The following is a 27585-nucleotide window of genomic DNA, read 5'->3' as shown; positions in this document are numbered from 1 at the left end:
TCAGCCTACCAAAGTGCTGGGATTATCGGCGTGAGCCACCTCACCAAGCCAAAAAAGAGCAGAGACTTAAAACAGATATCTATACATGCATGTTCATAGCAGTAATCTTTACAGTAGCCAAAAGGTAGAAACAAAGCAAATTTCCATCAACAAATGAGTGAATAAACAAAATGCGCTCTATCCATGCAATGGAATATTATTCAGTCTTAAATAGGAATGATATTATTGCGACCGGCAATTAGAAAGGGCAGGCAGAACTTCTGCTCCCTGCACAAAGCCGTTTAGTAAGGAAGAAAGAAGCCCCTGGAGCTGAATGACTCCAGGCCAGGCGCAGTGGCTCAAGCCTGTAATCCCGGCAATTTGGGAGGCTGCGGTGGGCAGATCACCTGAGGTCAGGAGTTTGAAACCAGCCCGGACAACATGGTGAAACCCTGTCTCTACTGAAAATACAAAAGTTAGGCTGGGCGCTGTGGCTCACGCCTGTAATCCCAGCACTTTAGGAGGCTGAGGTGAGAGGATCATGAGGTCAGGAGTTCGAGACCAGCCTGGCCAACATGGTTAAACCCCATCTCTACTAAAAATACAAAAATTAGCCAGGTGTGGTGGCGGGTGCCTATAATCCCAGCTACTCAGGAGGCTGAGGCAGTATAATCGCTTGAACCTGGGAGGCAGAGGTTACAGTGAGCTGAGATTGCACCACTGCACTCCAGCCTGGGCAGCAAGAGTGAAACTCCATCTCTAGCAACAATAACAAAAGAACTGAATGACTCCGCCTTGTCTCCAGGAACGAGGCGCTGGCCATTTGCCCATGTGACCTGGCAAGTGACGCCATTTAGCTGCCAGGCTCATTAACCAAGGGCAGCTCCTAGAACTTCCGGTGGGGATGATATCCATTGAGCACCAGGCTGTGAGCAGGGCTCCTGGATGAAGCCAGCTTGTACTGCCCACCTTCCAGAACCTTTTGTCTGCAGGGTGCTGCTTTCTCATGACAGCCATAACTTCGGGATCACCTGAGCCTCAAAAATGCACCAGGAATTCACTTTGCAGCACGGCACATTCCAGATCCCCATGTAGGGTGGCCACACCCAGATTCCAAAGGAGAACGTGGCCAGACCTGGCTCCTCCTTCAGACCTTCCCCCCTTCTCAGGTGTTTCTGCCTTGTGACTTTGAGCCATGGTGTGGCAGGAATGTGGTCTGCTTCTGCACTTGTGCTTGACATCATTTGTCCCCGTCAAGGGACAGGTTTCTTCATTTGAAGCAAATTTCTACAGCCATCCTGGTTTCGCTTTGGCAGCAGATACGGCTGGGGAGTGTGCATGGCTGGCTTTGTGCATGCCTCTTCCTCAAGGACAGCCCTACGCTCACTCTCTGCCTCTCCATCTTCCAAAGGCTTCCAGCTGGCTGCTGAGCCACCTTGCACCATGACTACAACCTGCAGTTCTGCTTCATTTCCTGATGTCTTCTCTTGCACCTTGTGCCCGGTGGCTTCACTGGCCTGTTTGATCCTCCATAGCACAGCCCACACTCTTGGGCTTTGCCTGGGACATTTGTCCTTGTGTCTTCTGGCCACTAATCTGACTGTATTAGAGTTCTATGGAGAAACAGAACTGATAGGATATGTGGACAGATAGAAGGATAGATAGCTAGATCTATATCTGTCTATCCATCCACACACCCATCCATCCATTCACCCACCCATCCAACCAACCGTCCATCCATCCATCCATCCACCCAACCACCAACCAACCATCCACCCAACCACCAACCAACCATCCATCCATCCATCCATCCATCCATCCATCCATCCATTCCTCCATCCATCCCTATCCTCTAGCTACCTACCTACCTAAAGGAATTGTCAGTTAGGTGCAGTGCTCATGCCTATAATCCCAGCAACTTGGGATGCTGAGATGGGAGAATCTCTTGAACTCAGAAGCTTGAGACCAGCCTGGACAACATAATGGGATCCCATCTCTACAAAAAATTTAAAAATTATCTGAGCATGGTGGCATGCACCTATAGTCCCAACTACTCTGCAGGCTGAGGCAGGAGGATTGCTTGAGCCTGGGAGGTCAAGGCTGCAGTGAGCTATGATCACACCACTGCACTCTGGCCTAGGTGACAGAGTGAGACCCTGTCTCTAAATAAATAAATAGTTTCATGGGATTGGGGGGCTGGCAAGTCTGAAATCTGTAGAGCAGCCCAGCAGGCTGGAGACTCAGGGAAGAGTTGATGCTGCAGTCCTGGTGTTTTGTTTTTTTTTTTTTTTTTTTTTTTGAGATGGAGACTCACTCTGTCACTCAGGCTGGAGTCCAGTGGCGTGATCTTGGCTCACTGCAACCTTTGCCTCCCAGGCTCAAGCAATTCTCCTGCCTCAGCCTCCCGAGTAGCTGGGCCTACAGGAGTGTGCCACCACGCCCGGCTAATGTTTCTATTTTTAATAGAGACGGGGTTTCAACATGTTGACTAGGCTGGTCTTGAGCTCCTGACCTCAGGTGATCCACGCACCTCAGCCTCCCAAAGTGCTGGGATTACAGGCATGAGCCACCACACCCAGCCAATGCTGCAGCCTTGAGCCTGGAGGCAGAATCTCTTATTTCTCTGGGAACCTCAGTCTTTTCTCTTAAGGCCTTCAACTGATTGGATAAAGCCCCCCTACATTGTGAAGGGTGATTTCCTTTACTGAAAGTCTACTGATATAAATATTAATTAATCACACCTAAAACAATACCTTCACAGCAGCATCTGGACTGGCGTTTGACCAAACAGCCAAATACCATAGCCTGGCCAAGCTGACACAGAAAACCACACCCTCCTTCAAGGCTTCCCTCCAGTGTGGCTGGTTGATAATAGCCCGCATTAGTTGAGTATTTACTACATACCAGGTATTGTGTGAAGTGCTTTTTTTGGCTTGTTTGATTTAATCCTCATAATAGCCCTATAATGTAGGTTCTATTTTGGTCTTCGGTTGACAGGGAAGAGAACTGAGGTCGAGAGAGGTTGAGTAACTATCCCAAGGTTGCACAGCAAGCTGAAGAGCCAAGGTCTGAAGCCAGGCAGTCCCACTGCAAAGCCCGCTGCTGTAGCTGCACACAGTCCTCTTCCAGAACCCGCAGGGCCTCCTTCCACTTCCCTAACCCCTGGCTGCCAGCTCTATCCTAACTTGCAGGTCTTGGAGGCACTTTCCCTTCATCCGCCTACGTCTTAGCCTCCTTCCCTATTTGTTGGGAGCAGATAATGGGTTTGTTGCATATAAATGAAGCCCAGGATTGCGTGTGGCCAGGCACATCTGACCTCTATCACTTTGGAAACCAGGGCACTCCTGAATGGCCACTGTCCCTGCCTGGGCACTGGTGAGGCCATACCTCCTGCAAGAGGCACTGTGACCCTCGGGCCCTTACAGCTCCAGCGGATACCAAACCAGGAGGAAGCCCAGCTCTGGTCTGACGGGTCACGCAAGGTTAGCCCCCAGCAGGGCGCCATGGCCTGGCCTCAGCAGTGGCAATTAACGCAATTTGCACCTTCTCGGGAGACTTAAGGAGCCCAGGAATGTGATGTTAGCACTGTCCTGGCAGTGCTGCCCTAGTTCTCTGGGTTTCGCTTGCTTTCCTCGACCTCCCCGAGCCTCATGAACCACGATTTCGGCCCTGCCTGGCCCTGTGTTCTACTCACTTGCTGCCCAGGGAACCAGCATGCTGGCCCTTGTCTCTGATTCTTGGACGGATGGGTTGCCCAGACCCGCCCAGGGCTGATTCTGCTTCCCGCTGCCTGCCCCAGGCCTGACCCTTCCTAGGGTTGTGGCAGAGGCAGCTACCACTGAGGACTGGGGATACTGTAGGCCTGAATCTGCCTCGTCCTTGAATTAGGTTGGACAGTATCCCCCCAAAAAGACATGTGCAATTCCTAAATCTAGTCCCTGTGAATATGACCTTATTTGGAAATGAGGTCTTTGTGGATATAATTAACCTAAGGATCTCGCGATGTGATTACCTGGGTGGGCCCTAAATCCAATGACAGGTGTCCTTTTAAGAGTGGCCAACATGGCAAAACTCCGTCTCTACCAAAAATACAAAAAATTAGCCAGATGTGGTGGTGCGTTCCTGTGGTCCCAGCTACTTGGGAGGCCGAGGTGAGGGATTGCTTGAGCCTGGGAGGCAGAGGTTACAGGGAGCTGAGATCGTGCCACTGCACTCCAGCCTAGGTGACAGAGCGAGACTCTGTCTCAAAAAAAAATAAAGAGTGGAACTGAACTGGAAGGAAGAGAAGTAATTGAATGCAGCTGAATTAGAAGGTGGCCTTCTAATTTAGGACACACCTGAGTTCAATGCTTCCTCTAGTATTTATTGGCTAAATTTGATTTCCTCAAAGCGTGGTGTGGATCAAAGGAAATAATAAGTGGAAAATGACTGTCACAGAGTAAGTGACCATAAATGGTGGTTATTATTCTAAGGGTCAAGCAGAGAGGAACACTGGGATAGAAACCTGGGGTTCGAGCCCCAGATTCTTCTATCATGGGATGGCTGTGACTTTCCAGGAGGCATTTACACTGGCTCTGAGTCTCGGAGCCCGCATCTGTCTGTCCGAGGGGGCCGGTTTGTCCTGTCCTCTTACTTGCAGGACTACTGTGAGACTCACAGGACTTTGGGTACAACCCTTTTTTTTTTTTTTTGAGACAGTCTCGCTTTGTCGCCCATGCTGAAGTGCAATGACGTAACCTCGGCTCACTCCAACCTCCGCCTCCTGAGTTCAAGCAATTCTCCTGCCTCAGCCTCCCAAGTAGCTGGGATTACAGGCGCGTGCCAGCACACCCAGCTAATTTTTTGTATTTTCAGTAGAGAGGGGGTTTTGCCATGTTGGCCAGGCTGGTTTTGAACTCCTGACCTCAGGTGATCCACCCACCTTGGCCTCCCAAAGTGCTGGGATTACAGGCATGAGCCACCGTGTCTGGGCTCTTTTTTTTTTTTTTTTTTTTTTTTTGAGACTGACTCTTACTCTGTTGCGCAGGCTGGAGTGCAGTGGCGCGATCTCGACTCACTGCAACCTCCGCCTCCCGGGTTCAAGCGATTCTCCTGCCCCAGCCTCCCAAGTAGCTGGGATTACAGGTGCCTGCCACCATGCCCAGCTAATTTTTGTATTTTTAGTAGAGACAGGGTTTCACCATGTTGGCCAGGCTGGTCTTGAACTCCTGATGTCAATGAACTCCTCGCCTCAGCCTCCCAAAGTGCTGGGATTACAGGCGTGAGCCACTGTGCCTGGCCCAAGAGTTTGGGTGCAACCCTCTTGCAAGCCATGTTTCAAAAGCCCAGGGTGTTTGTATGATGATTTACACGTAATATAACGTCCCAGCATGTTGCACCCTGGTATCTGTGAATGCACGTTTGTGCAACTCAAGAGGTGGGAAAAGGTGGTTTCAGGCTTTGGATTTTACCAGGATTTGAACTGTGCTTATTAAAGAAAGTTGGCTCTCAACCAGGGAGAACGAAACTGCAAACAAGCATTCCCTTTTCAGCATCGCACGATTTTGCAGCACTTCTTGCTTCGTGTGGCCTTCCCTCTCTCCAACTGTGGTCACCGATGGGCTTCTAGTAGCAGGTGTGGTGAGGGACAATGAAGTGCGGACAGCCTGCATTGAAGCCCCACGGCCCAGGAGCCAGGCTGCCCCAGTGCCGGCCCTTCCTGGACCCTGTGTGGGACAAGCCTGAACCTCTGAGCCCCGCTGGGACTACTTACCCGGGATTGTTCCCTCAGGTGGCATAAATGTGACTGGATCACCGCCTTCCAGATGTTAGAGCCTCAGGTGACACGCATCTAATTTTAAAGCCTTCCAGCTGTTAGAGCCTCAGGTGACACGCATCTAATTTTAAATTGCATGGTGGTAAATAACAGACGCAGGTCCTGACTGTGAGGGGAACACAGGCGAGAGATCAGCTCTTTCATCTTGGGGAAGTGAATGAAAGCCTCACTTGGCAGCTTTTCTTGGAGTCATTCCCGCGATGAATCCCATCTCAAGAACCTCATATTCCCATCCCTGAAGATTCACGGCTAGAGAGGTACATGCAAGAGGGGTAATTGTGCAGGGTGAGGGGTGTGGTGGGGAGAGCCAGAAAAATGACTGTGCAGTGGAAGTAGAAAAAGATATTTTTAATTTAAAGTAACAAATACCCTTTTTTTTTTTTTTTGAGATGGAGTCCCGCTCCGTCCCCCACGCTGGAATGCAGTGGTGCAATCTCGGCTCACTACAACCTCCGCCTCCCAGGTTCAAGTGATTCTCCTGCCTCAGCCTCCCTAGTAGCTGGGATTACAGGCGCACATCACCACGCCTGGCTACTTTTTGTATTTTTAGTAGAGACGGGGTTTCACCATGTTGGCCAGGCTGGTCTCAAACTCCAGACCTCGGGTGATCCACCCGCCTCGGCCTTCCAAAGTGCTGGGATTACAGGCGTGAGGCACCACAGTCAGCCACAAATACACTTAATTGATCTCAGATAAAAACTACTGAGGGAAGGTCAGTAATCGTTTTAGCCCCTAATCTATTAGAACTTTATCCTGAGTAGCCTTGAGGATGGGTTAGCTGATTCTTTCCATCAGTTCCCACCATCCACAGTGTTAGAAAAAACAAGGCATTGTCTCAGTTTAGGACAAAGGCATGGCTGGCAACCAATTCCAGTCTCTCGTATTCTGAATTTTTTCTTTAACTCTTCTACTTTGTTGACGTAAGCTTTAGCTTTCATGGGATCTTCCCTGGCAGCCCCTTTCAGCTAATTCCAGGGATCTCACTTGGCTTTGCCCTTGAAGTCCACCATCCTGGGCCGTTCTGTCTTTATGTTGCCTACAGTCGCTCGTTTGTAGTGGCCGTAGAGGAACCGCATCTCATCATCTGCTGGCTTGGTCTTAAAGTGCTTAATACCCTGCACATCTTTTTTTTTTTTTTTTTCTTCCCAGCTCAAGTGATTCTCCTGCCTCAGCCTCCCGAGCAGCTGTGATTACAGCTGCATGCCACCCATGCCCGGCTAATTTTTGTATTTTTAGTGGAGATGGGTTTTGCCATGTTGGACAGGCTGGTCTGGAACTCTTGACCTCACATAATCTGCCTGCCTTGGCCTCCCAAAATGCTGGGATTACAGGTGTGAGCCACCACACCCAGCCCTCCACAGCTTTCTGAAACTCAGCCTGAGACTGGCTTGCAAGGACTCCAGGGAGCCAGCGGAGGAGGCAAGGAGCAGGAAGCGATTACTAGGACTGCACTGGCAAGTGCCTTTAGGAGAGGCGCAGCCCCACGCTCTCCAACCCTGCTCAGGAAATAGAAATTTAAAAATAGTGTTTCTCAGGCCAGGTGCAGTGGCTCATGCTTGTAATCCCAGCACTTTGGGAGGCCGAGGATGGAAGACCACTTGTGTCCCAGGAGTTGGAGACCAGCCTGGGCAACATAGTGAGACTGCGCCTCTTCCAAAAAAAAAAAAAAAAAAATGCTGGGCATGGTGGTGTGCACCTGCAGTCCCAGCTACTCAGGAAGCTAAAGTGGGAGGATTACTCGAGCCTGGAGAAGTTGAGGTTGCAGTGAGCTGTGATCGTGCCACTGTACTCAGCCTGGGTGACAGAGTGAGACTCTGTCTCAAAAAAAGTAAATAAATAAATAAATAAATAAATAAATAAAAAGCTTTCCTTGCAGGGGCAGAATTTGGAATGACTTTCATCCTGACCTTTCAGCCTGGCCCTACCTACCGACCCCTTTGCCTGCTTGTCTAGCCCTGCACCTCTGGCTTGGCCACTTATCTGCCCGGGCCACACCACGTGCTGTTTCTCACAATGCACCCTGCTCCCTGGCCCACAGTGCCTTTCTTTCTGGAACTCTTTCCTCTTAGCCCCATGGCTGCCTGGCAGGGTCCTACCACCTCTTTCAAGACACCGTTCTCACCCTTCCTGTATCAAAGATGCTTTTCCAAATCTGCTCTGTCCACATGAACCTCCTGTCTTTCTGCACTCTCCCGGGTGCCTTTCTAATAACACTCACCATGCCTGCTCCGTTCTGAGCTGCGGGAAGTCTGTGCGCTCTAGGAAGGCAGGTGGTGGTTGTTTTCCACTTGCATGTTCTTAGGCTTATGATTTTATTTTCATTATTATTATTTAGAGACAGAGTTTTGCTCTGTTGCCCAGGCTGGAGTGCAGTGGTGCAATCATAGCTCACAGCAGCCTCCAATTCCTGGGCTTACTTGATCCTCCTGCCTCAGCCTCCTGAGTAGGTGGGGCTATAGGCAGAAACCACCAGACCTAACTAAGTTTTTTTTGTTTTGTTTTGTTTTGTTGTTTTTTAATTTTTTAGTCCGGGCACAGTGGCTCATGCCTGTAATCCCAGCACTTTGAGAGGCTCAGGTGGGCAGACCACTTGAGGTCAGGAGCTCGAGACTAGCCTGGCCAACATGGTGAAATCCCATCTCTACTAAAAATACAAAAAATTTAGCCAGGCGTGGTAGCACACGCCTGTAATCCTAGCTACTTGGGAGGCTGAGGTTGGAAGGATGGCTTGAACCCAGGAGGCAGAGGTTGCAGTGAGCAGATACTGCACCACTGCACTCCAGCATGGGTGACAGAGTGAGACTCCATGTCAAAAAAAACAAAAAAAAAATTTAGCCGGGCATGGTGGCACACACCTGTAATCTCAGCTACTTGGGAGGTGGAGGTTGTAGTGAGCCAAGATGGTGCCACTGCACTCCAGCCTGGGAGACAGAGTGAGACTTTATCTCAAAAAGAAGAAAAAATTTTTTTTTGTAGAGATGGAGTCTTGTGTTGTTGCCCAGGCTGGTCTTCAACTGGCTTCAAGCAATCCTCCTGCCTCACATCCCAAAGCACTGGGATTATAGGCATGGGCCACCATGCCCAGCCTATTATTACTAATTGTGGTAAAATACACATACCAGAAAGTTTACCACCTGGATTAGCTTGTTAGGGCTGCTATATCTAAGTATTGGTGATGAGGTGGCTTGAACAACAGAAATGTATGTTGTCACAGTTCTGTTGTCACTGACAGCACAGTGTGGACGGGGTTGGTTTCTTCTGAGGCCTCTCTCCTTGGCTCATAGATGGCTGTCTTTTCTGTGTCTCCTCACCATCTTCCTTCTGTGCCTCTGTATGTCCTAATTTCCTCCTCTTTTTTTTTTTTTTTTTTCGTTGAGACGGAGCCTCACTCTGTTGCCAGGCTGGAGGGCAGTGGCTTGATCTCGGCTCACTGCAACCTCTACCTCCTGGGTGCAAGTGACTTTCCTGCCTCAGCCTCCCCAGTAGCTGAGACCACAGCTACTGGCATTCACCACCACACCTGGCTAATTTTTGTATTTTTAGTAGAGATGGGGTTTCACCATGTTGGCCAGGCTGGTCTTGAACTCCTGACCTTGTGATCTGCCTGCCTCTGCCTCCCAAAGTGCTGGGATTACAGGCGTAAGCCACTGCACCTGGTCCCTAATTTCCTCCTCTTAGAAGAATACCAGTCATATGGGTGGTATTCTTAAACACCTGACCTCGTGATTAAGACCACGAGGTCAGGTGTTTAAGACCAGCCTGGCCAACATGGTGAAGCCCCATTTCTACTAAAAACACAAAAATTAGCCAGGCATGGTGGCATGCGCCTGTAATCCCAGCTACTCGGGAGGCTGAGGCAGGAGAATCTCTTGAACCTGGGAGGCGGAGGCTGGTGACAGAGTGAGACTCCATCTCAAAAAAAAAAAAAAAAAAAAAAAAAAGAATACCAGTCATACTGAATTAGGGCCCATCCTAATGACCTCATTTTAACTGAATCACCTCTTCAAAGACCCTATCTGCAAATGCAGTCATATTCTGAGGTACCGGGGTTGGGGACTTCGTCATCTGGATTTTGGAAGGACACAATTCTGCTCTTAACATCACCATAACCATTAAAACATTTTTTCTGGGACAGGGTCTCTCTCTGTCACCCAAGTTGGGGTGCAGAGGTGTGATGACAGCTCACTGCAGCCTCAAACTCCCAGGCTCAAATGATCCTCCTGCCTTAGCCTCCTGAGGCACCAGGACCACAGATGCATGCCACCACATCTGGCTAATTAAAAAAAAAATGTTTAGCCAGGCGTGGTGGCTCACACCTGTAATCCTAGCACTTTGGGAGGCTGAGGCGGGTGGATCACTTGAGGTCAAGAGTTCAAGACCAGCCTGGCCAACATGGTGAAACCCTGTCTCTACTAAAAATACAAAAATTAGCGGGAAATTGTTTGAACCCGGGAGGTGGAGGTTGCACTGAGCCGAGATTGTGCCACTGCAATCCAGCCTGGGCAACAGAGTGAGACTCCCCCATCTCTCCAAAAAAAAAAAAAAAATTATCATTTTTTTGAGATGGTGGTCTCACCATGTTGCCCAGGCTGGTCTTGAACTCCTGGCCTCAAACGATACTCCCCGCTTTGGCTTCCCAAAGTGTTGAGATTACAGGCGTGAGCCACTGCATCTGGTCTATAACCCCCTTTTTTTTTTTTTGAGAAACAGTCTCGCTCTGTCGCCCAGGCTGGAGTGCAGTGGCACGATCGCGGCTCACTGCAAACTCTGCCTTCCGGGTTCACGCCATTCTCCTGCCTCAGCCTCCCGAGTAGCTGGGACTACAGGCACCCGCCACAACGCCCGGCTAATTTTTTTGTATTTTTAGTAGAGACGGGGTTTCACCGTGTTAGCCAGGATGGTCTCCATCTCCTGACCTCGTGATCCGTCCGCCTCGGCCTCCCAAAGTGCTGGGATTACAGGCGTGAGCCACCGCGCCCTGCCAGGTCTATAAACATTTTTAAGTGTACAGTTCAGTGGCATTAAGTATATTCACATTGTTGTGTAGTGATTACCACCATCTGTCTCCAGAACTGTTATCATCTTACAAACCTGAAACTCTTTATCAGTTAAATAACTCCCCATTAGCCCCGTCCTGGCCCCTGGCAACCAGCAGTTTCTTTTCTGTCTTTATGAATTTGACTACTCTAAGTGCCTCGTATAGGAGGAATCATATAGTGTCTGTCTTTTTGGGTCTGGCTTCTTTCACTCAGCATAATGTCCTCCATGTTCATCCATGTTATAGCGTGTCAGAATTCCATTCCTTTTTAAGACTAAACAATATTATACATAGGAAAGCAGGTTAGTTTTACATTTATCTTTAGTATTCAGCAATTTACCACATTGCTTTGACATAGTAAGTACAATCAGGATTTGTTTCATTAAATGGGGTTAATCTACTTGAAGGGCTGGGGCGGAGAATGGGGTCTAGGAAGAATTCTGTGGTACTCAGCTGTCATTCCTAGAACTCAGACTTTCTTTTTTCGACATCAATACAAAGCTATTTTGATAGTCTCTAAAGTACTGTAGACATAGCCTAAAAGTAGAGTTCCAGTTTTTATCAGGGAATTAAGGCCCAAAAAGCATTAGGTTGGCCGGGCGTTGTGGCTCATGCCTGTAATCCCAGCACTCTGGGGGGCCGATGCGGGCAGATCACTTGAGGTCAGGAGTTTGAGAGAGATGAAACCCCATCTCTACTAAAAATACAAAAATTAGCCAGACGTGGTGGCGCACACCTGTAATCCCAGCTACTCGGGAGGCTGAGGTAGGAGAATCACTTGAACCTGGGAGGCAGAGGTTGCAGCAAGCCGAGATCACACCACTGCACTCCAGCCTGGGTGACAGAGTAGGACTCCGTCTCAGAAAAAAAAGCATTAGGTTGACTAGAAAAAGGTTATAGACCTTGCAAGCCCTAGTCAACTCTTTTTGGCCTGAATAGCTCTTTGGAGTAAGAATAGATTGTCTCAACACAGTGGGAACCCAGAGACCCACACCTCTCCTTCCACGGCTCCCATGAACTGAGCCAGAGCGAGCTACAGTGAAGCAGCCAGTGCCTGGGCGTGGTGGTATGATGCAGGGGGATTGATTTTTCCCGTCAAGGCCCCAAATCCCCTAGGCCTTTGGAGATTTAGAACGAGGCTTGGATTTGGGGCTACTGTGAGATACTCTCGGTTTCATTTCCAGCTGTGATGGCCTTCAGGTTCCCTCCAAATGAGACGATGTGTGCCCTAGGTTACGAAGGGCAAAGGGGTCAAATGGTGCCCTTGCAGAAAGTTGGTAGTAACTCCTACCTGCCTTACGGATTCGTTTCTGTACTTACATTTGAGCATGGATGTGTCAGATATTCTGGGAAAGCACTGCACATGCAATAATGAAGCCACACTAATGAAGACCTGGCCCTGGAGAAGCTGGGAAGCCATCCAGCTTCCACCTCCTGCCCCTGCTCACCTCCTCCCTGGAACCCACTACATGCTGGGAAGAGAGAACGCTTCTCTCAGACAGACCAGAGTGTTGAAGTAAGGTCCATTAACCACACGCTCCTCGGGGCTCAATTCACAGCATAGACGCCCAGTGATTTATTCCAGCAGTGTGTGTGTCTCTCAGCAACACTATAAATTGCCAAAGAAGAGCCATGCCTCACCACCCCAAGATGGGGAGGGACCCAGAGAGAATACAGAATGCGGATCCACTGTCTCCTCCTCCTGGATAGCTGCTCATGGCTGTGTCTGAGAGTACGTGGGTGCTGTTCCAAATGAAAACATGATTCCTAGAAAACCGTAAGCTTATGGCTACCGAGAGCAATAAGACTTTTATTAGTTATTGATTTTATTTGTATTCTTTGAGACAAGGTCTCGCTCTGTCACCCAGGCTGGAGTGCAGTGATGCAATCACAGCTCACTGTAGCCTCTACCTCCCGGGCTCAAGCGATCCTCCTACCTCAGCCTCCTGAGCAGCTGAGACTGCAGGCATATGCCACCATGACCAGGTGATTTTTAAATTTTTTGTAGAGACAGGATCTCATCATGTTGCCCAGGCTGGTCTGGAATTCCTGGGATCAAGCAATCCTCCTGCCTCGGCCTCCCAAAGTGTTGGGATTACAGGCATGAGCCACCATGCCTGGCTTCTCCTGGAGTTTTTCTGTTTGAAAAAAAATTATTATCTATTGGCATTGCGATCATATTTGTCTGGCTCACAAACTTATTTTATGTGTTTTTGAGATGGGGTCTCCCTTTGTCACCAAGGCTGGAGTGCAGAGGTGTGATCTCGGCTCACTGCAGCCTTCGCCTCCTAGGTTCAAGTAATTATCCTGCCTCAGCCTCCTGAGTAGCTGGGATTACAGGTGTGCACCACCACGCCCCCCTAATTTTTGTATTTTTAGTTATTTTTAGGAGACATGGGGGTTTCATCATGTTGGCCAGGTTGGTCTTGAACTAACGACCTCAGGCGATCTGCCCTCCTCGGCCTCCCAAAGTGCTGAGATTACAGGCATGAGCCACCGCCCACAGCCGGCAAACTTATTTTTGAGTAATGTTAATGGTATTTTGGTACTACCCCGTGGCTAAAATAAACACGCATCTTCCTAACAAGCCTGCAAGTTTCTCCCATGCTGGCTACAGAAGCATGCTTCCGAGGAAGTTCAGGTTCATCATGGTAGATCCAGCCCCATCTGCAAGTGACTGCCATAGGACTTCAGGGTAAGGGTTGGCAGCACGCCAATAGGATTGAAACTATCCCTACGGATGGTTTGCTGAGCGAAGGTTTTGATACTGAAGGCTGAGACTTCCAGCCTTCTGCCCCTCTCAGCTGAGTGGCAGCAAGCCTGAAGGGTCTTCTCTGGAAAACCTGACTAATTAATCCAAGGAAAAATACCAGCAGATGGTGACACGGGGGTGGGATCCCCGACAAAATGACCTGGCCTGATTATTCTAAACAACACGTGATTACGAGAATCACCCTGGGAGATTTACATGCCTGTCTGCGCCCCTTCCCCATCCCCAGATGGTTGCATCTAGGTGTCATCCTCATTCTCCACACTCTGTTTGAAACCTGCTTTTTCTTGCCGGAGCTTCTCCCTGTAGCTCTCTGTAGTTCTGAAGTTGCGCTGCGCTGTGTCTTGGTGTGGGTCTGTTTCCAGTCATCGTGTTGGCCACTTGCTGGTCCTTTTCAATCACATTCTTCATTTAGGAAAACGTTTCTTGAATGGTTGCTCAGCAGTTTCTCCCTTCTGTGTTCTCTCTTCTTTCTGAAACCCTTTATTATTTGGATGCTGGGTTTCTTGGGCTGTTCTTCTCATTTTCTTGTAGAGACAAGAAAATTCCATTACTCCCTTTTTTTTTTTTTTTGAGCCAGAGTCTTGCTCTGTTGCCCAGGCTGGAGTGCAGTAGTGCAATCTCAGTTCATTGCAATCTCCGCCTCCCGGGCTCAAGTGATTCTCCTGCCTCAGCCTCCCTAGTAGCTGAGATTACGGGTGCCGACCACCACGCCTGGCTAATTTTTATCTTTTTAGTAGAGATGGGGTTTCTCCATGTTGGCCAGGCTGCTCTCAGACTCTTGACTTGAGATGATCCACCCGCCTCGGCCTCCCAAAGTGCTGGGATTACAGGCGTGAGCCACTGTGCCTGGCCCCATCTCTCTTATTTCGCTTTCTCATGGTTCTAGAGGCCAGAAGTGTGAAATCAAAGTGTCCGTGGAGCCACGCTTCTTTTGAAGGTTCTAGGGCAGGATCCTGCCTTGCCTCTGTCAGCCTCTGGAGTCTCCCAGGACCGCTTGGGGTTCCGTGGCTGGTGGCTGCATCACTCTTATCTCTGCCTCTGTCTTTATATGTCTTCTGTCTTGTCTTATCTGTCTTCTCCTCCCCTGCATGTCTCTGTGTCTTTTCCTCTTCTTTTTCTTTTTTTAACTTTAATTTTTTTTTTTTTTTTTGAGACGGAGTCTCACTCTGTTCCCCAGGCTGGAGTGCAGTGGCGGGATCTCAGCTCACTGCAATCACCACTTCCCGGGTTCACACCATTCTCCTGCCTCAGCCTCTTAAGTAGCTGGGACTACAGGCGCCTGCCACCATGCTCTGCTAATTTTTTTGTATTTTTAGTAGAGATGGGTTTCACCGTGTTAGCCAGGATGGTCTCGATCTCCTGACCTCGTGATCCAGCCGCCCTGGCCTCCTAAAGTGCCGGGATTACAGGCGTGAGCCACCGCGCTGGCCTTAACTTTAATTTTTTATTTTGAGACAGGGTGCCCAGGCTGGAATACAGTGGCGGAATCACAACTCACTGCAGCCTTGAACTCCTGGGGTTAAGCGATCTTCCCACCTGGACCTTCTCAGTAGCTAGGACCACAGGTGCGTGCCACCACACCTAGCTAATTTTTAAAAAACATTTTTGGGCTGGGTGCAGTGGCTCATACCTGTAATTCCAGCACTCTGGGAGGCCAAGGCAGGTGGATTGCTTTAATCCAGGAGTTTGAGACCAGCCTAGGTGACATGGCAAAACGCCATCTCTCTAAAAATACAAAAATTAGCCAGGCATGGTGGTGCCTGCCTGTGGTCCCAGCTGCTCAGGAGGCTGAGGTGGAGGGATCACTTGAGCCTGGGAGGAGGACGTTGCCGTGAGCCAAGATCACGCCACTGCGCTCCAGCCTGGGCAACAGAGCAAGGCCTCATCTCAAATTAAAAAAAAAAAAAAGCGCAGGGCTCACTCTGTTGTCTGGGTTGGTCTCCAACTCTTGGGCTCAAGTGATCCTCCTGTCTTGGCCTCCCAAAGCCTTGGGGTTATAGGCATGAGCCACTGTGCCCGGTTCCTCTTCTTAAAATGATGCCAGTCATCAGATTTAGGCCATCGTGGTCCAGTACAACTGTTTCTTAACTAATTATGTGTGCAAAAGCCCATTTCCAAATAAGGCCACATTCTGAGGATCCTGGTGGACCTGAATTTTGAGGGGACTCCGTTCAACCCACTTCACAGCTCCTGCAGAGTTTTTCCTACACCCAATCCTGGGCTCCTCACCATTATTCCACACAGATGGGATGGAAGCTCCAGCAGGAGCTGTGCCAGGTGACAAAGCTGAGTGACAGACACCATGCTTTACTTCGAATCTCCCATCTGCTCTTTCAACCAAGCTCATCTTGTTGGGGCCACCAATCGGCACCTCCTTGCCTTAAAATGTGATTGCCAGCTGGGTGCTCACACCTGTAATCCCAGCACTTTGGGAGGCGGAGACAGGTGGATCACTTGAAGTCAGGAGTTTGAGACCAGCCTGGCCAACATGGTGAAACCTTGTCTCTACTAAAAATACAAAAATTAGCTGGGTGTGTGGGCGCATGCCTATATTCCCAGCTACTTGGAGACTGAGGCAGGAGAATTTCTTGAAACCTTTTTTTTTTTTTTTTTTTGAGGTGGAGTCTCTGTCGCCCAGGCTGGAGTGCAGTGGCGAGATCTCGGCTCATTGCAAGCTCCGCCTCCTGGTTGAACCCATTAAAAAAAAATAAAAATATATTAATATAACTCCCATATGCAGTCATTCAATGAATTTGTATTGGCCTCTAAACTGGGCATGGCTGGATGTAGAATCTATGGATGTGGCTAGATGGAATACACCTGGTTATGGAGGCACCTGCAGGTATTTTGGTGATCTTCTCCAAAGGATCTTTTGCTTTGCTGAGACGCCTGATCTTCCTGTCAATGTGAAGGTAGCTGCTGGAGGCTTGTGAACAGCAGTCAATGGTAGAGAAAAAATGTGGGTAAAGGCCAAGCGTGTGGCTCACATCTATAATCCCAGCACTTTGGGAGGCCGAGGCAGGAGGATCACTTGAGGTCAGGAGTTCAAGACCAGCCTGGCCAACATGGTGAAACCCTGCCTCTACTAAAAATACAAAAATTAGCTGGGTGTGGTGGCATATGCTCATAGTCTCAGCTACTTGGGAGGCTGAGGCAGGACAATTGCCTGAACCTGGGAAATGGAAGTTGCAGTGAGCTGAGATCATGCTACTACACTCTAGCCTGGGTGACAGAGTGAGACTCCATCTCAAAAAAAAAAAAAAAAAAAAAAAAAAAAAAGCAGGTACGTTCCTACAAACTCACCCTCATCAGTTGAAAGAGAAAAAGACTCAAAGCTTGTAACTGCAGTTTTGGACGCATGATCAGGCCATAGCAGGGAATCCCATCTTCCAGCAGATGGTTCTCCAAGATTGTGGTCCACCTGACAAATGAAATCACGTAGGCACTGCCGAGTCCTCAGGGGCCGGTGTGATGAGAATGGCTACAACTCAATCATTATGCAACTTATCTCAAAGCCTGTCATGGTTGCCACCCAGTCTGACCTCTGATATCCTGGAGCCAAGGTCCTCACCCATCATGTGAATTTGCATGTGAGGGAGGGTGAGGAGGAGACACTGAGGCAGGCAAGGCATTCTGCAAGCTTTTGCAGAGTTTTCATGGACACATTCTGATTCCCACTGTGTCCAGGTGGGAGTTCTGTACACATCACAGATGGAAAAAAGAAACTCTCTGTGGATTTGGCAGCACCCTGGATTGGATGTTTGAAGAAAGCTATTGCATCTGCCCCGTATCTTCTGTGAATCGGGTACCTTTATGCTTCTGGGAGGTCAAGAAGAACCCAGAACCCTCCAGTGACTTCCCTTTGGGTCTTGGCATTATGAGAAGATGGTTAACCTCCTTTATAGAACTCTCCTTCACATCCAATCCTTCAGAAAGCCTAATTGATCCCATCTTCTTAACCCAACCCCTCCCCTGGACATCGTTCCTAAGCCCCTTAAAGAAACAGATGGCGGCTGGGCACGGTGGCTCACGCCTGTAATCCCAGCACTTTTGGGAGGCCAAGGCATGTGAATCATGAGGTCAGGAGTTCGAGACCAGCCTGGCCAATATGGTGAAACCCTGTCTCTACTAAAAATACAAAAATCAGCTGGGCATGGTGGTAATCCCAGCTCCACTGGAGGCTGAGGTAGGAGAATTGCTTGAACCCCGGGAGGCAAAGGTTGCAGTGATCCGAGATCGCACCATTGCACTCTAGTCTGGGTGACAAAGCGAGACTCCGTCTCAAAAAAAAAAAAAAAGAAAAGAAAAGAAAAGATATGGATGGCATATCCTTGTACCTCCAGGGCCTGACACACAGTGCTGGCACCACAGCCCCAGTCCCCCGGGGTTGATGGCATGATTCACTCCCTGACCTGGAGACTGGGGAGGCTTGTCAGCTTATAGGTTTCCACAGCAGGCAATGTGGCCGAATTGCTTCCAGAGAAGTAGGGAGGTGAGTATGACCATTACTTGTGTCTAAAAATCCGACGTGACTAACTTACAAACACATAAGTTACCACAAATGATTTAGGGAGGAGGAAAGAAGTGCAGACAGGCAAGCTTTCAGATCGTTTCAGGAAACCAGGAAGCAGGGAGCACAGCGTTGCAGCCAGCAAGGGAAGACGGAAGCTGTGAGTCCTGGCTCTGAGGGCCTCCCATCCAGTTGGGCTGATGGATGAGACAGGTACAGTCTGTGCTGGGCCATCGTGAGGCTTGCAGAGGGTAGTGCCAGGGTCACACAAGGCGTCATGGCCTCAGAATTCTGAGACCTGGTTTTCCATCTGAACTCATCACCCTTAGTGGGAGACCTAGGGTGCGTTTCTCTTCAATCCTGGGTTTCACCTCTCTAAACAAGGGACAATAGTATCTACCTCAGAGGGTTGTGGCAATGACCAAATGTGTCACAGGTGAAAATGTCCAGTAGTTTCTGGCATTTATGACGTGTTCGGTCAATGTTAGTTCACTATTGTTATCCCATTTACTAAGCGAATGCATGTGACACACCATGCGTTTCTGAACCTCGTATGTGAGAGTGCCTGGCATAGAATTGATGTTCATTAAAGGTTTATTTTTTAAATTTTTAGATAAACTTATTTTGAAATAGTTTTAGACTTGAAGAGTTGCAGAAATACTAGCGAGTTTCCCTGTATCCTACATCCAGCTTCCCCTAATTTTTTTTCCCCCAAGATGGAGTCCTGCTCTGTTGCCCAGGCTGGAGTGCAGTGGCATGATCTCGGTTCACTGCAAACTCCGTCTCCTGGATTCAAGTGATTCTTGTGCCTCAGCCTCCTGAGTAGCTGGGATTACAGGCGCACACCACCATGCCCAACTAATTTCTGTATTTTTAGTAGAGACGGGGGTTTCACCATGCTGGCCAGGCTGGTCTTGAACTCCTAACCTCAGGTGGTCTGTCTGCCTCAGCCTCCCAAAGTGCTGGGATTACAGGTGTGAGCCACTGCACAGGGCCCAGCTTCCCCTAAAAATGTTAACGTCTTACCTAACCATAGTAAGAGGATCAGAACCAGGAAATTGCAGATCTTATGTGAATTTTGCCCGCTCTCCTGCTACTGTCCTTTCCTGTTCCATGTTCCCAACCAGCATCCCATGTTCCATTTAGTTGTTGTATCTATCCCCTTAGGGACGATTCCTAGATTGTGACAGTTTCTCAGTCTTTGTCTTTCAAGACCCAAAGTGTCCAAGGACACTTTTGATGGGTACTGGTTAATCACTTTGTAGAACAGGTCTCAATCTGGGTTTGTCTGGTGTTTTCTTGCGATTGGATTGAGATTACACACTTCTGCAGGAATACCACCACAATATGTTGCTTTTAGTTTTTTCCTCCTTTATTGTGGTAAAATACACTCAACATAACATTTACCATTTAAACCACTTTATTTTATTTTATTATTATTTTTTGAGATGGAGTTTCACTCTTGTTGCCCAGGCTGGAGTGTAATGGTGCGAACTCAGCTCACCACAACCTCCGCCTCCCGGGTTCAAGCAATTCTCCTGCCTCGGCCTCTCGAGTAGCTGGGATTACAGGCATGTGCCACCACGTCCGGCTAATTTTTGTATTTTTAGTAGAGATGGGGTTTCTCCGTGTTGGTCAGGCTGGTCTCGAACTCCCGACCTCAGGTGATCCGCCCACCTCGGCCTCCCAAAGTGCTGGGATTACAGGCGTGAGCCACCGCTCCCGGCCTAAACCACTTTAAAGTGTATGATTCAAGGGCAGTATGTAGATTCATCCTGTTGGATCATTTCTAGACTTTTTCATCATCCTAAAACGAAACCCCAAGCTGCTTATCTTCCTCCCCTAGCACCTGGCAACCTCCAATCTGTGTCGCCTCTACGGATTTGCCAATTCGAGACATTTCATCTGGATGGAATCATACGCTATGTGGCCTTTTTTGTTTGGCTTCTTTCACTAGCATAACGTTTCCCGGGTTCCTCCACACTGCAGCATGCATCGGTGCTCCATTCCTTTTTGTAGCCGAATAATATTCCATTGCATGGACAGATCACATTTTACTTTTATTTTCTAATTCAACAGTGAGACCTGGTGTGGGCCCCGGCGCTGGGCCTGGGAGGCGAGGGAGGGGATGGAAGAGAGCCCCGTGACTGGCAGGAGGCACTGTGGAGTGTGGGGAGAAGGGGTCGGGATCTGCATGCTAGAGAGAATAGGATTTTATTTACACGTGGCAATGTTTATGGAGGCCAATGCACAACTGCCATTATGGGACGCGGACTCCTTTGAAAGTCTCATTTGTGTAAAAGGAAAAGCAGTAGTTCATGAGGAGGGGGAGAAGGGCTCAAGGACAGCAAGGTAAACTACCCCTGGGGCGGGGGAACGTGGTCGTCGGTGGGCCCAGCTTTGGAGGCTAGGCCCGTGAAGGTCGCCCCGTGAGCAGGTCCAGGGCAGGCCGAGTGCCCCGGGGCCCGCATTCATTGCTTACAGAGCAAGGGGAGCCTCCCGGGAGGGAAATCCAACGGTTGGAAACTTCGATTTATCCCAAAGGCGTGCCGAGTGGGAAGGCAACATTTTGATTTCCCAAACGTTGCGGCCAGCGGCTTCTTCCACGGCAGGCGCCTTCAGGTCTCTCCGCAGGGTCGGGACCCCGGGCGGCGCGCGGCCTCTGGGACGCCGAGGGAGGGCGGGCCCACAGCGCCCGGAGCGCGGACAGCGGCCACAGCCCGCCGCCTAGAAGCGGCGCCGCCCGGGGCGGGGGGCGGAGCCGAGCGCGCGCCCCGCCCCGCCCCGCCCCGCCCCGCAGCCCCAGCCCAGCGCGCGCACCAAGGCGGGGCGGCGCGCGGCCCGTGCGCGTGTCCGGGGCCAGGAGGCGGTGGCGGCGAGCGCGGGCCGCGCGTGCGCGCTGCGGCTGGGCGAGGGGCGGCGCGGGCGCGCGTCTGTCAGTGACAGCGGGCGGGGCAGGGGCCGGAGATGGTGGCGGCGGCAGCTCTTCCGACATGAGGCAGCGGCCGCGGGGGACACGGCGGCGGGCGCGGCGGCGGCCGCATCTCTAGCTCGGGGAGGCGGCCCCCGGCGTGGGCGCGGGCGGGCGGGCGTCCCGGCCGGCGTCGCGGGAGCCCGGCTCTGCGGCAGCGTCTGCACCGCCGCCCGGCGAGGGGCCCGCGTCCGTGGTTCCACGCGCTCGGTCCCGGGACAGCTGCGGCCGCGGCGGGAGCGGCGGCGCACTCGGGGGGAAGCAGGCCCCACTAGACGGGCCGCGCCGACGGGCTCCGCGCACTCGCAGCCCGGGGCGCCCCCACCCCCAGCGCCCGCCGCCGCGGGCAGGGCCGGCCCGGAGCGCGGGGGGCGGCCGGGGAGCGCGAGCCGGGGGCGCCCGCCGAAGCTCGCTGCTCCGGGTCGGGGTCCGGGCCCGGGGCCGGCCGCGCGCCGCCTTTGACGCATCGGAGCGCGGCTCCTGCAGGATGGAGGGCTCCGCGCCGCCAGCGGAGTTGTTTGTGCGCAGGCGGCTCGCGGGGCTGGGAGCGCTCAAGGTCTGAACTTCCCTCCGGAGCCGCAGCTGGAGGAGGCGAGCGCGCGAGGAGGAGAAGCCGCGCGGCGCGGAGGCCACCCTCGGGGCGAGAGGCGCGGAAGGCGAGCGAGCAAAGCGGTCCCGGAGCCACGGCGGCCACGCGGCGGGGACCCCCGGGCGTTCTAGGTCCGTCCCGAGCGGTTCTCGTGCGCCTCGAAGGTGGGGGCGGTGGGGGCGGTGGGAGCACCGCTGAGCCGGGAACCACAGGAACAGATGGTGCCTGTCCAGGTCGCGTGCTGGAGCCGCCCCTTAGGACAGGAGCAGGTCCCGGGCCTCTAGGCGTGCATGCCTAGGTGGGAGCGCCGCTAACTCTCCCCGTTTTGCTGGCAGGTACTGGTGACCCCGGCCGGGGCAGGCCCCGGGACTCGACAACATGGCTTCCCCACCCCACCAGCAGCTGCTGCATCACCACAGCACCGAGGTGAGCTGCGACTCCAGCGGGGACAGCAACAGCGTGCGCGTCAAGATCAACCCCAAGCAGCTGTCCTCCAACAGCCACCCCAAGCACTGCAAATACAGCATCTCCTCTAGCTGCAGCAGCTCTGGGGACTCCGGGGGCGTCCCCCGGCGAGTGGGCGGCGGAGGCCGGCTGCGCAGGCAGAAGAAGCTGCCCCAGCTGTTCGAGAGGGCCTCCAGCCGCTGGTGGGACCCCAAGTTCGACTCGGTGAACCTGGAGGAGGCCTGCCTGGAGCGCTGCTTCCCGCAGACCCAGCGCCGGTTCCGGTATGCGCTCTTCTACATCGGCTTCGCCTGCCTTCTGTGGAGCATCTATTTTGCGGTCCACATGAGATCCAGACTGATCGTCATGGTCGCCCCCGCGCTGTGCTTCCTCCTGGTGTGTGTGGGCTTCTTTCTGTTTACCTTCACCAAGCTGTACGCCCGGCATTACGCGTGGACCTCGCTGGCTCTCACCCTGCTGGTGTTCGCCCTGACCCTGGCTGCGCAGTTCCAGGTCTTGACGCCTGTCTCAGGACGCGGCGACAGCTCCAACCTTACGGCCACAGCCCGGCCCACAGATACTTGCTTATCTCAAGTGGGGAGCTTCTCCATGTGCATCGAAGTGCTCTTTTTGCTCTATACCGTCATGCACTTACCTTTGTACCTGAGTTTGTGTCTGGGGGTGGCCTACTCTGTCCTTTTCGAGACCTTTGGCTACCATTTCCGGGATGAAGCCTGCTTCCCCTCGCCCGGAGCCGGGGCCCTGCACTGGGAGCTGCTGAGCAGGGGGCTGCTCCACGGCTGCATCCACGCCATCGGGGTCCACCTGTTCGTCATGTCCCAGGTGAGGTCCAGGAGCACCTTCCTCAAGGTGGGGCAATCCATTATGCACGGGAAGGACCTGGAAGTGGAAAAAGCCCTCAAAGAGAGGATGATTCATTCCGTGATGCCAAGAATCATAGCCGATGACTTAATGAAGCAGGGAGATGAGGAGAGTGAGAATTCTGTCAAGAGGCATGCCACCTCGAGCCCCAAGAACAGGAAGAAAAAGTCTTCCATCCAAAAAGCTCCTATAGCCTTCCGCCCTTTTAAGATGCAGCAGATCGAAGAAGTCAGTATTTTATTTGCAGATATCGTGGGCTTCACCAAGATGAGTGCCAACAAGTCTGCCCACGCCCTGGTGGGTCTCCTGAACGATCTGTTCGGTCGCTTCGACCGCCTGTGTGAGGAGACCAAGTGTGAGAAAATCAGCACCCTGGGAGACTGTTACTACTGCGTGGCGGGCTGTCCCGAGCCCCGGGCCGACCATGCCTACTGCTGCATCGAGATGGGCCTGGGCATGATCAAGGCCATCGAGCAGTTCTGCCAGGAGAAGAAGGAGATGGTGAACATGAGAGTCGGGGTGCACACGGGCACCGTCCTTTGCGGCATCCTGGGCATGAGGAGGTTTAAATTTGACGTGTGGTCCAACGATGTGAACCTGGCCAATCTCATGGAGCAGCTGGGAGTGGCCGGCAAAGTTCACATTTCTGAGGCCACCGCAAAATACTTAGATGACCGGTACGAAATGGAAGATGGGAAAGTTATTGAACGGCTGGGCCAGAGCGTGGTTGCTGACCAGTTGAAAGGTATGTGCACTGCTTTACCTCGGCATCCCCCCTCCCTGATCCTGATTGTATTAAATTAAAAAAAAAAGCTTCCAGCCTCAGTGTCTGCAGACAGCTCAGGTATCTCAGAATGCCTTACCATGGGGGGATCTCAGGGTCAGTGTGACTTTTCTTTCAGCGGGTCAAATATCACAGATCTGTTCACACTGCAGAAAGGGACGCTGTGCAGAGATGACCTAGACGCGACCTTTAGAAGGAAGGAGAACTTTGAACGTGCATAACCACTGGTTGGCTGAAATGTGGGGGCACGTCCGGTGAATGTAAGGGTATGGAGCCCTTCAGCATTCAGCACTGTTTAGCACTTAAGGAAATTGCCTTTGCATTCATTTGGTCACCCTGAAGTCCCATCCAAATGTTTCTCTCTGCCCTTTTTGCGAAAACGTGGAGAATAAAATCTTTCTCCTCTCTAGGCCTCACTTTGCTTATCCTCAAAATAGGGATAGGAAGTCGGCGCAGTCCTGCAGGTCTCTGGAGAATTAGACGGAGTTACTTACCTCTGAGTACACACTGTCTTTTATCTAGGTCTTTTTTTTTTTTTAAAAAAAGTTTGCATTTTCAGCTTTCAGCCATCATTTGTTTAAGGATATTTTATTATCATAGTATTTGCCTTAAGTGAAGAGCTTCATATTGAGCTTCTCCAGCCACCAGGTGATTTGGAAGGGAGAAACGTACCTGCCGGAGAGCTGGTATTCCCCTCCCTCATCCTCTCAGGTTTGGATCTGGTGCCTGGTCCCTGGTTTGAAGCTCCTTACTGCTATTCTTGATGTTTTTACTGGGCTGCTTGTTTTTTCTAATATAGGACAAAAGTCTTTGAGATCTGGAAAATGATATTAAAATAAGTAGGACGAAAAAGAAAGATTTTAAGTAATCTGCTACATTTCTTCCCCCACTTCCTCCTTTTTAAACAGTCCTTATGTTTTACTAAAATCTTCAGGATTGAGGGGAACATCTGTTGTGGAAGTATGTAGAGAAAATAACACTGATTTTTTTTAAAAGCCTGCTTTTGTGAAGCTGTATTGTATTTTGTGGTCCCCACACACTGCATACTTAAACAGTTAAAAGCCTCAGGAAAGGGAATCCTCGGAAGAAGTAATTAATAGTTCCAATCAGAGATGGCAGAAGTAATAGTTTCAATCAGAGACGGCAGAAGTAATAGTGTCAGTCAGAGACGTCCAGTGGTTGAGGTAGGGCCTGCATAGGTCGTTGGTGTGAGATCATCCTATGTGTCCAGTTGGCATTCTCTTTCTCTGGCTTGTGATCTGAGCTCCTGTATCTTTTATGTATTTGTTCTCTGGCAAGGGAACATCATCTTTCTTCTGATTTTTCTTTATTTTACTAACTTTGCTGTTGAAGATTTTATGGATGTAGACGAAAACTATTTTCACCCGAGAATTCCCCTAACCTAGAGCACTTTAAGGACTATGTTAACAAGGTCAGAAACTACACTTTCTGTTCACTTGAAAGATGCTGCCGTGATGAGTGTCTTTCCGTTTAGGGCGGTGGCACTCGCTCTTGAGTCTGAAGGTGTCAGTGGACGGGGCTGTGGGTGTAACCCCCTGCTTGCCACCTTGGCATTTTTAGGGCCCAGGTGTTGTGAGCTCTGTCCTTGGAGACTGTGGGACGGTGGAGCTGGGCGGCAGTACGTTAAATTAAATATGTTGGCCCAGAGGACAATGAGAACGTTTTGTAAGCTGTACTTTGTATGCTGTATTACTCGAATTTCAAAAATGAAGAGGGTGTAATTATTAAATATGTTTGGAAATTGCCAAGTCATTGAATACCTATTTTGTGAATTTATGAGTAGTTTTATTTTTAAGTTTGTAGATCAGGGGTCTCAGACACAGAGCCAAAAAAAAAAAATGCTAGAGTGAGTTTGTGTTTTTTTTTTTTTAAACCTCAAATAGTGTAAATTTGGTAAATTAACTTTTCTTGACATTTGTGTACATTGTATATTTATAAAAGTTTTAGTACTGTAGGGAGTAGGGAAGATAGAAGGCTTAGCTTAGCTGCTGATTTTTTAAAAGTGATATTCTTTCCTTTAGCTCTTTCTCTGAGACCACGATTTTGTTTTCTTGAGCTCATTTTACAAACCTTTGTGGATAGGACTCCAGGAATAGAGTATGTCTACACAACTTCCTGGCCCTTTTGGAAACTGTCCTTACAAAGCTAAATTGAGATGACAGCACAGTTTGTAGAAGACCCTTTCACACACATAGTTAAGCTTATCTACATGTAAGATCGATTTTAGCCTCTGCCTTTGGGCTGGTGGCAGATGTTTTCTCTATACAATATTGGGTATTACGGGAGGCTGAGGCAGGAGAATTGTTTGAACCCGGGAAGAGAAGGTTGTAGTGAGCCGAGGCTGCGCCACTGCACACCAGCCTGGGCGACAGAGCAACTCTGTCTTAAAAAACAACAACAACAAAAACAAAAAAAACCCCAATACTGGGTGTATTAGCCTTTCCCTCTTACCCCCTTTTCTGATCCCAGGGTTAAAAAGCAGCCAGTAGCGGCCCTGCAGGAATGGGCATCCATAGAATGAGAAGGGGCTTCTAGAACTAGCCTGGGAGCACAGAAGGAAGCTCCTCTCATTCAAATTTATCCGAACAGGCTTTGCAGAAGGGTAGTTTCATGATTTCTGCACATTCCTTCACTCTGAAATCTGTGTCGTGCCCCTGGCACTGACTGTGCACCTGGCACTGTGGATGTGGAGCAGGATCCGTGATCGTGGAGCAGGATCCGTGATCGTGAGGTAGGAGGTGGGACTCGACTCCAGAGGCGGGGTTCAGATGCCAGACCGAATTGAGGACTAGCTGATACAGGGATGGGGCAGAAGCAGCGTTCTGCAAGGCACGCCCACCAGTGTGCCTTGTTAGTTTACTGTCGCCATGGCCACACCCGGAGTTACTGCCTCTTTCCATGGCCGTGACCTGACAACCCAAAAGCCACCACCCTTTTCCTAGAAGTGTCTGCCTAAGCCTACCTTTACTCTACAGGAAATTAAAAGTAGGTATAAGGTAAGGCTGGGCGCAGTGGCTCATGCCTGTAATCCCAGCACTTTGGGAGGCCAAGGCGGGTGGATCACCTGTGGTCATGAGTTGGAGACCAGTGTGGCCAATATAGTGAAACCCCGTCTCTACTAAAAATACAAAAATTAGCCTGGTGTGGTGGTGTGCGCCTGTAATCCCAGGTGCTCGGGAGGCTGAGGCAGAAGAATCGCTTGAACCCAGGAGGTGGAGGTTGCAGTGAGCTGTGATCATGTCCACTGCACTCCAGCCTGGGCGACAGCCTAGGCGAGACTGCGTCTCAAAAAAAAAAAAAAAAAAAAAAAAAAGTAGGTATAAGTATGATTGCAAAACTGCCCTGAGCTGCTACTTTCCGCCTTTGGGAAAGCCCAGCTCTGCAGGAGCAGTCATGGAGCCGTATAACACTGCCTGCCTCTTCAATAAAGGTGTTTTCTTTCCTGCCACCGGCTCACCCTTGAATTATTTCCTGGGCAAAGCCAAGAACCCTCTTGGGCTCGGCCCCACTTTGGGGCGCGTCTGACCTGCGTTAATAGTTCCCAACCTCCGTGAGCTCACAGTTAAAAATGTTGTGGAGTATGTTCGGGAGTGGGGAGCGCTTTAGAGGGGGCTCCTGCTGGAGCTGGGTCCTGAGATCAGGCTGTGGCTCTCCAGGTGGACAGAAGAGCACCAGGGCAGAGCGGAGAGGTGGGTATGGCTGGGCCCTGTGCTTCTCTGTGGGGGCGGACGATTGTTAGTTGTTCATCAGGACAAGGAAGGCCATGGGTAGCGTGGGAA

General features: G+C 50.7%; 1 protein-coding gene and 1 pseudogene across 3 annotated transcripts in view, besides 6 other annotated features; one reads left to right on the top strand and one right to left on the bottom strand.

Annotated features, from left to right (window-relative positions):
- Positions 3003 to 3542: an enhancer, noted in NCBI's record as "H3K4me1 hESC enhancer chr16:4183955-4184494 (GRCh37/hg19 assembly coordinates)". NCBI's record gives its function as "activates a minimal SCP1, AML or CMV promoter by ChIP-STARR-seq in naive H9 embryonic stem cells {active_cell/tissue: H9 hESC(naive)}" and the evidence as "EXISTENCE:reporter gene assay evidence [ECO:0000049][PMID:30033119]".
- Positions 3543 to 4083: an enhancer, noted in NCBI's record as "H3K4me1 hESC enhancer chr16:4183414-4183954 (GRCh37/hg19 assembly coordinates)". NCBI's record gives its function as "activates a minimal SCP1, AML or CMV promoter by ChIP-STARR-seq in naive H9 embryonic stem cells {active_cell/tissue: H9 hESC(naive)}" and the evidence as "EXISTENCE:reporter gene assay evidence [ECO:0000049][PMID:30033119]".
- Positions 5155 to 5654: an enhancer, noted in NCBI's record as "NANOG-H3K4me1 hESC enhancer chr16:4181843-4182342 (GRCh37/hg19 assembly coordinates)". NCBI's record gives its function as "activates a minimal SCP1, AML or CMV promoter by ChIP-STARR-seq in naive and primed H9 embryonic stem cells {active_cell/tissue: H9 hESC(naive and primed)}" and the evidence as "EXISTENCE:reporter gene assay evidence [ECO:0000049][PMID:30033119]".
- Positions 5655 to 6156: an enhancer, noted in NCBI's record as "NANOG-H3K4me1 hESC enhancer chr16:4181341-4181842 (GRCh37/hg19 assembly coordinates)". NCBI's record gives its function as "activates a minimal SCP1, AML or CMV promoter by ChIP-STARR-seq in naive H9 embryonic stem cells {active_cell/tissue: H9 hESC(naive)}" and the evidence as "EXISTENCE:reporter gene assay evidence [ECO:0000049][PMID:30033119]".
- DBIP3 (DBI pseudogene 3) lies at positions 6501 to 6904 on the bottom strand (annotated as a pseudogene).
- Positions 20847 to 20916: a silencer, noted in NCBI's record as "silent region_7145". NCBI's record gives its function as "represses an Ori minimal core promoter by ATAC-STARR-seq in GM12878 lymphoblastoid cells {active_cell/tissue: GM12878}" and the evidence as "EXISTENCE:reporter gene assay evidence [ECO:0000049][PMID:35858748]".
- Positions 21054 to 27585, top strand: part of ADCY9 (adenylate cyclase 9) — a 163056-nt gene continuing 156524 nt past the window's right edge. For all 3 annotated transcript variants that reach the window (XM_011522353.3, NM_001116.4, XM_005255079.4), the window contains exons 1-2: positions 21054 to 21806; positions 22011 to 23746. In XM_011522353.3, coding sequence (XP_011520655.1) covers positions 22054 to 23746 — 1693 coding nt within the window. In that variant the 5' untranslated portion in view covers positions 21054 to 21806; positions 22011 to 22053. The remainder of the gene's footprint in view (positions 21807 to 22010; positions 23747 to 27585) is intronic.
- Positions 23910 to 24120: a silencer, noted in NCBI's record as "fragment chr16:4163377-4163587 (GRCh37/hg19 assembly coordinates)". NCBI's record gives its function as "represses an EF-1alpha promoter that drives an FKBP-Casp9 reporter gene in an ReSE screen in HepG2 liver carcinoma cells {active_cell/tissue: HepG2}" and the evidence as "EXISTENCE:reporter gene assay evidence [ECO:0000049][PMID:32094911]".

Source organism: Homo sapiens, chromosome 16 (genome assembly GCF_000001405.40).
Source record: "Homo sapiens chromosome 16, GRCh38.p14 Primary Assembly".
Lineage (NCBI taxonomy): Eukaryota > Metazoa > Chordata > Mammalia > Primates > Hominidae > Homo > Homo sapiens.
This window is presented reverse-complemented; position numbering and strand designations above follow the sequence as displayed.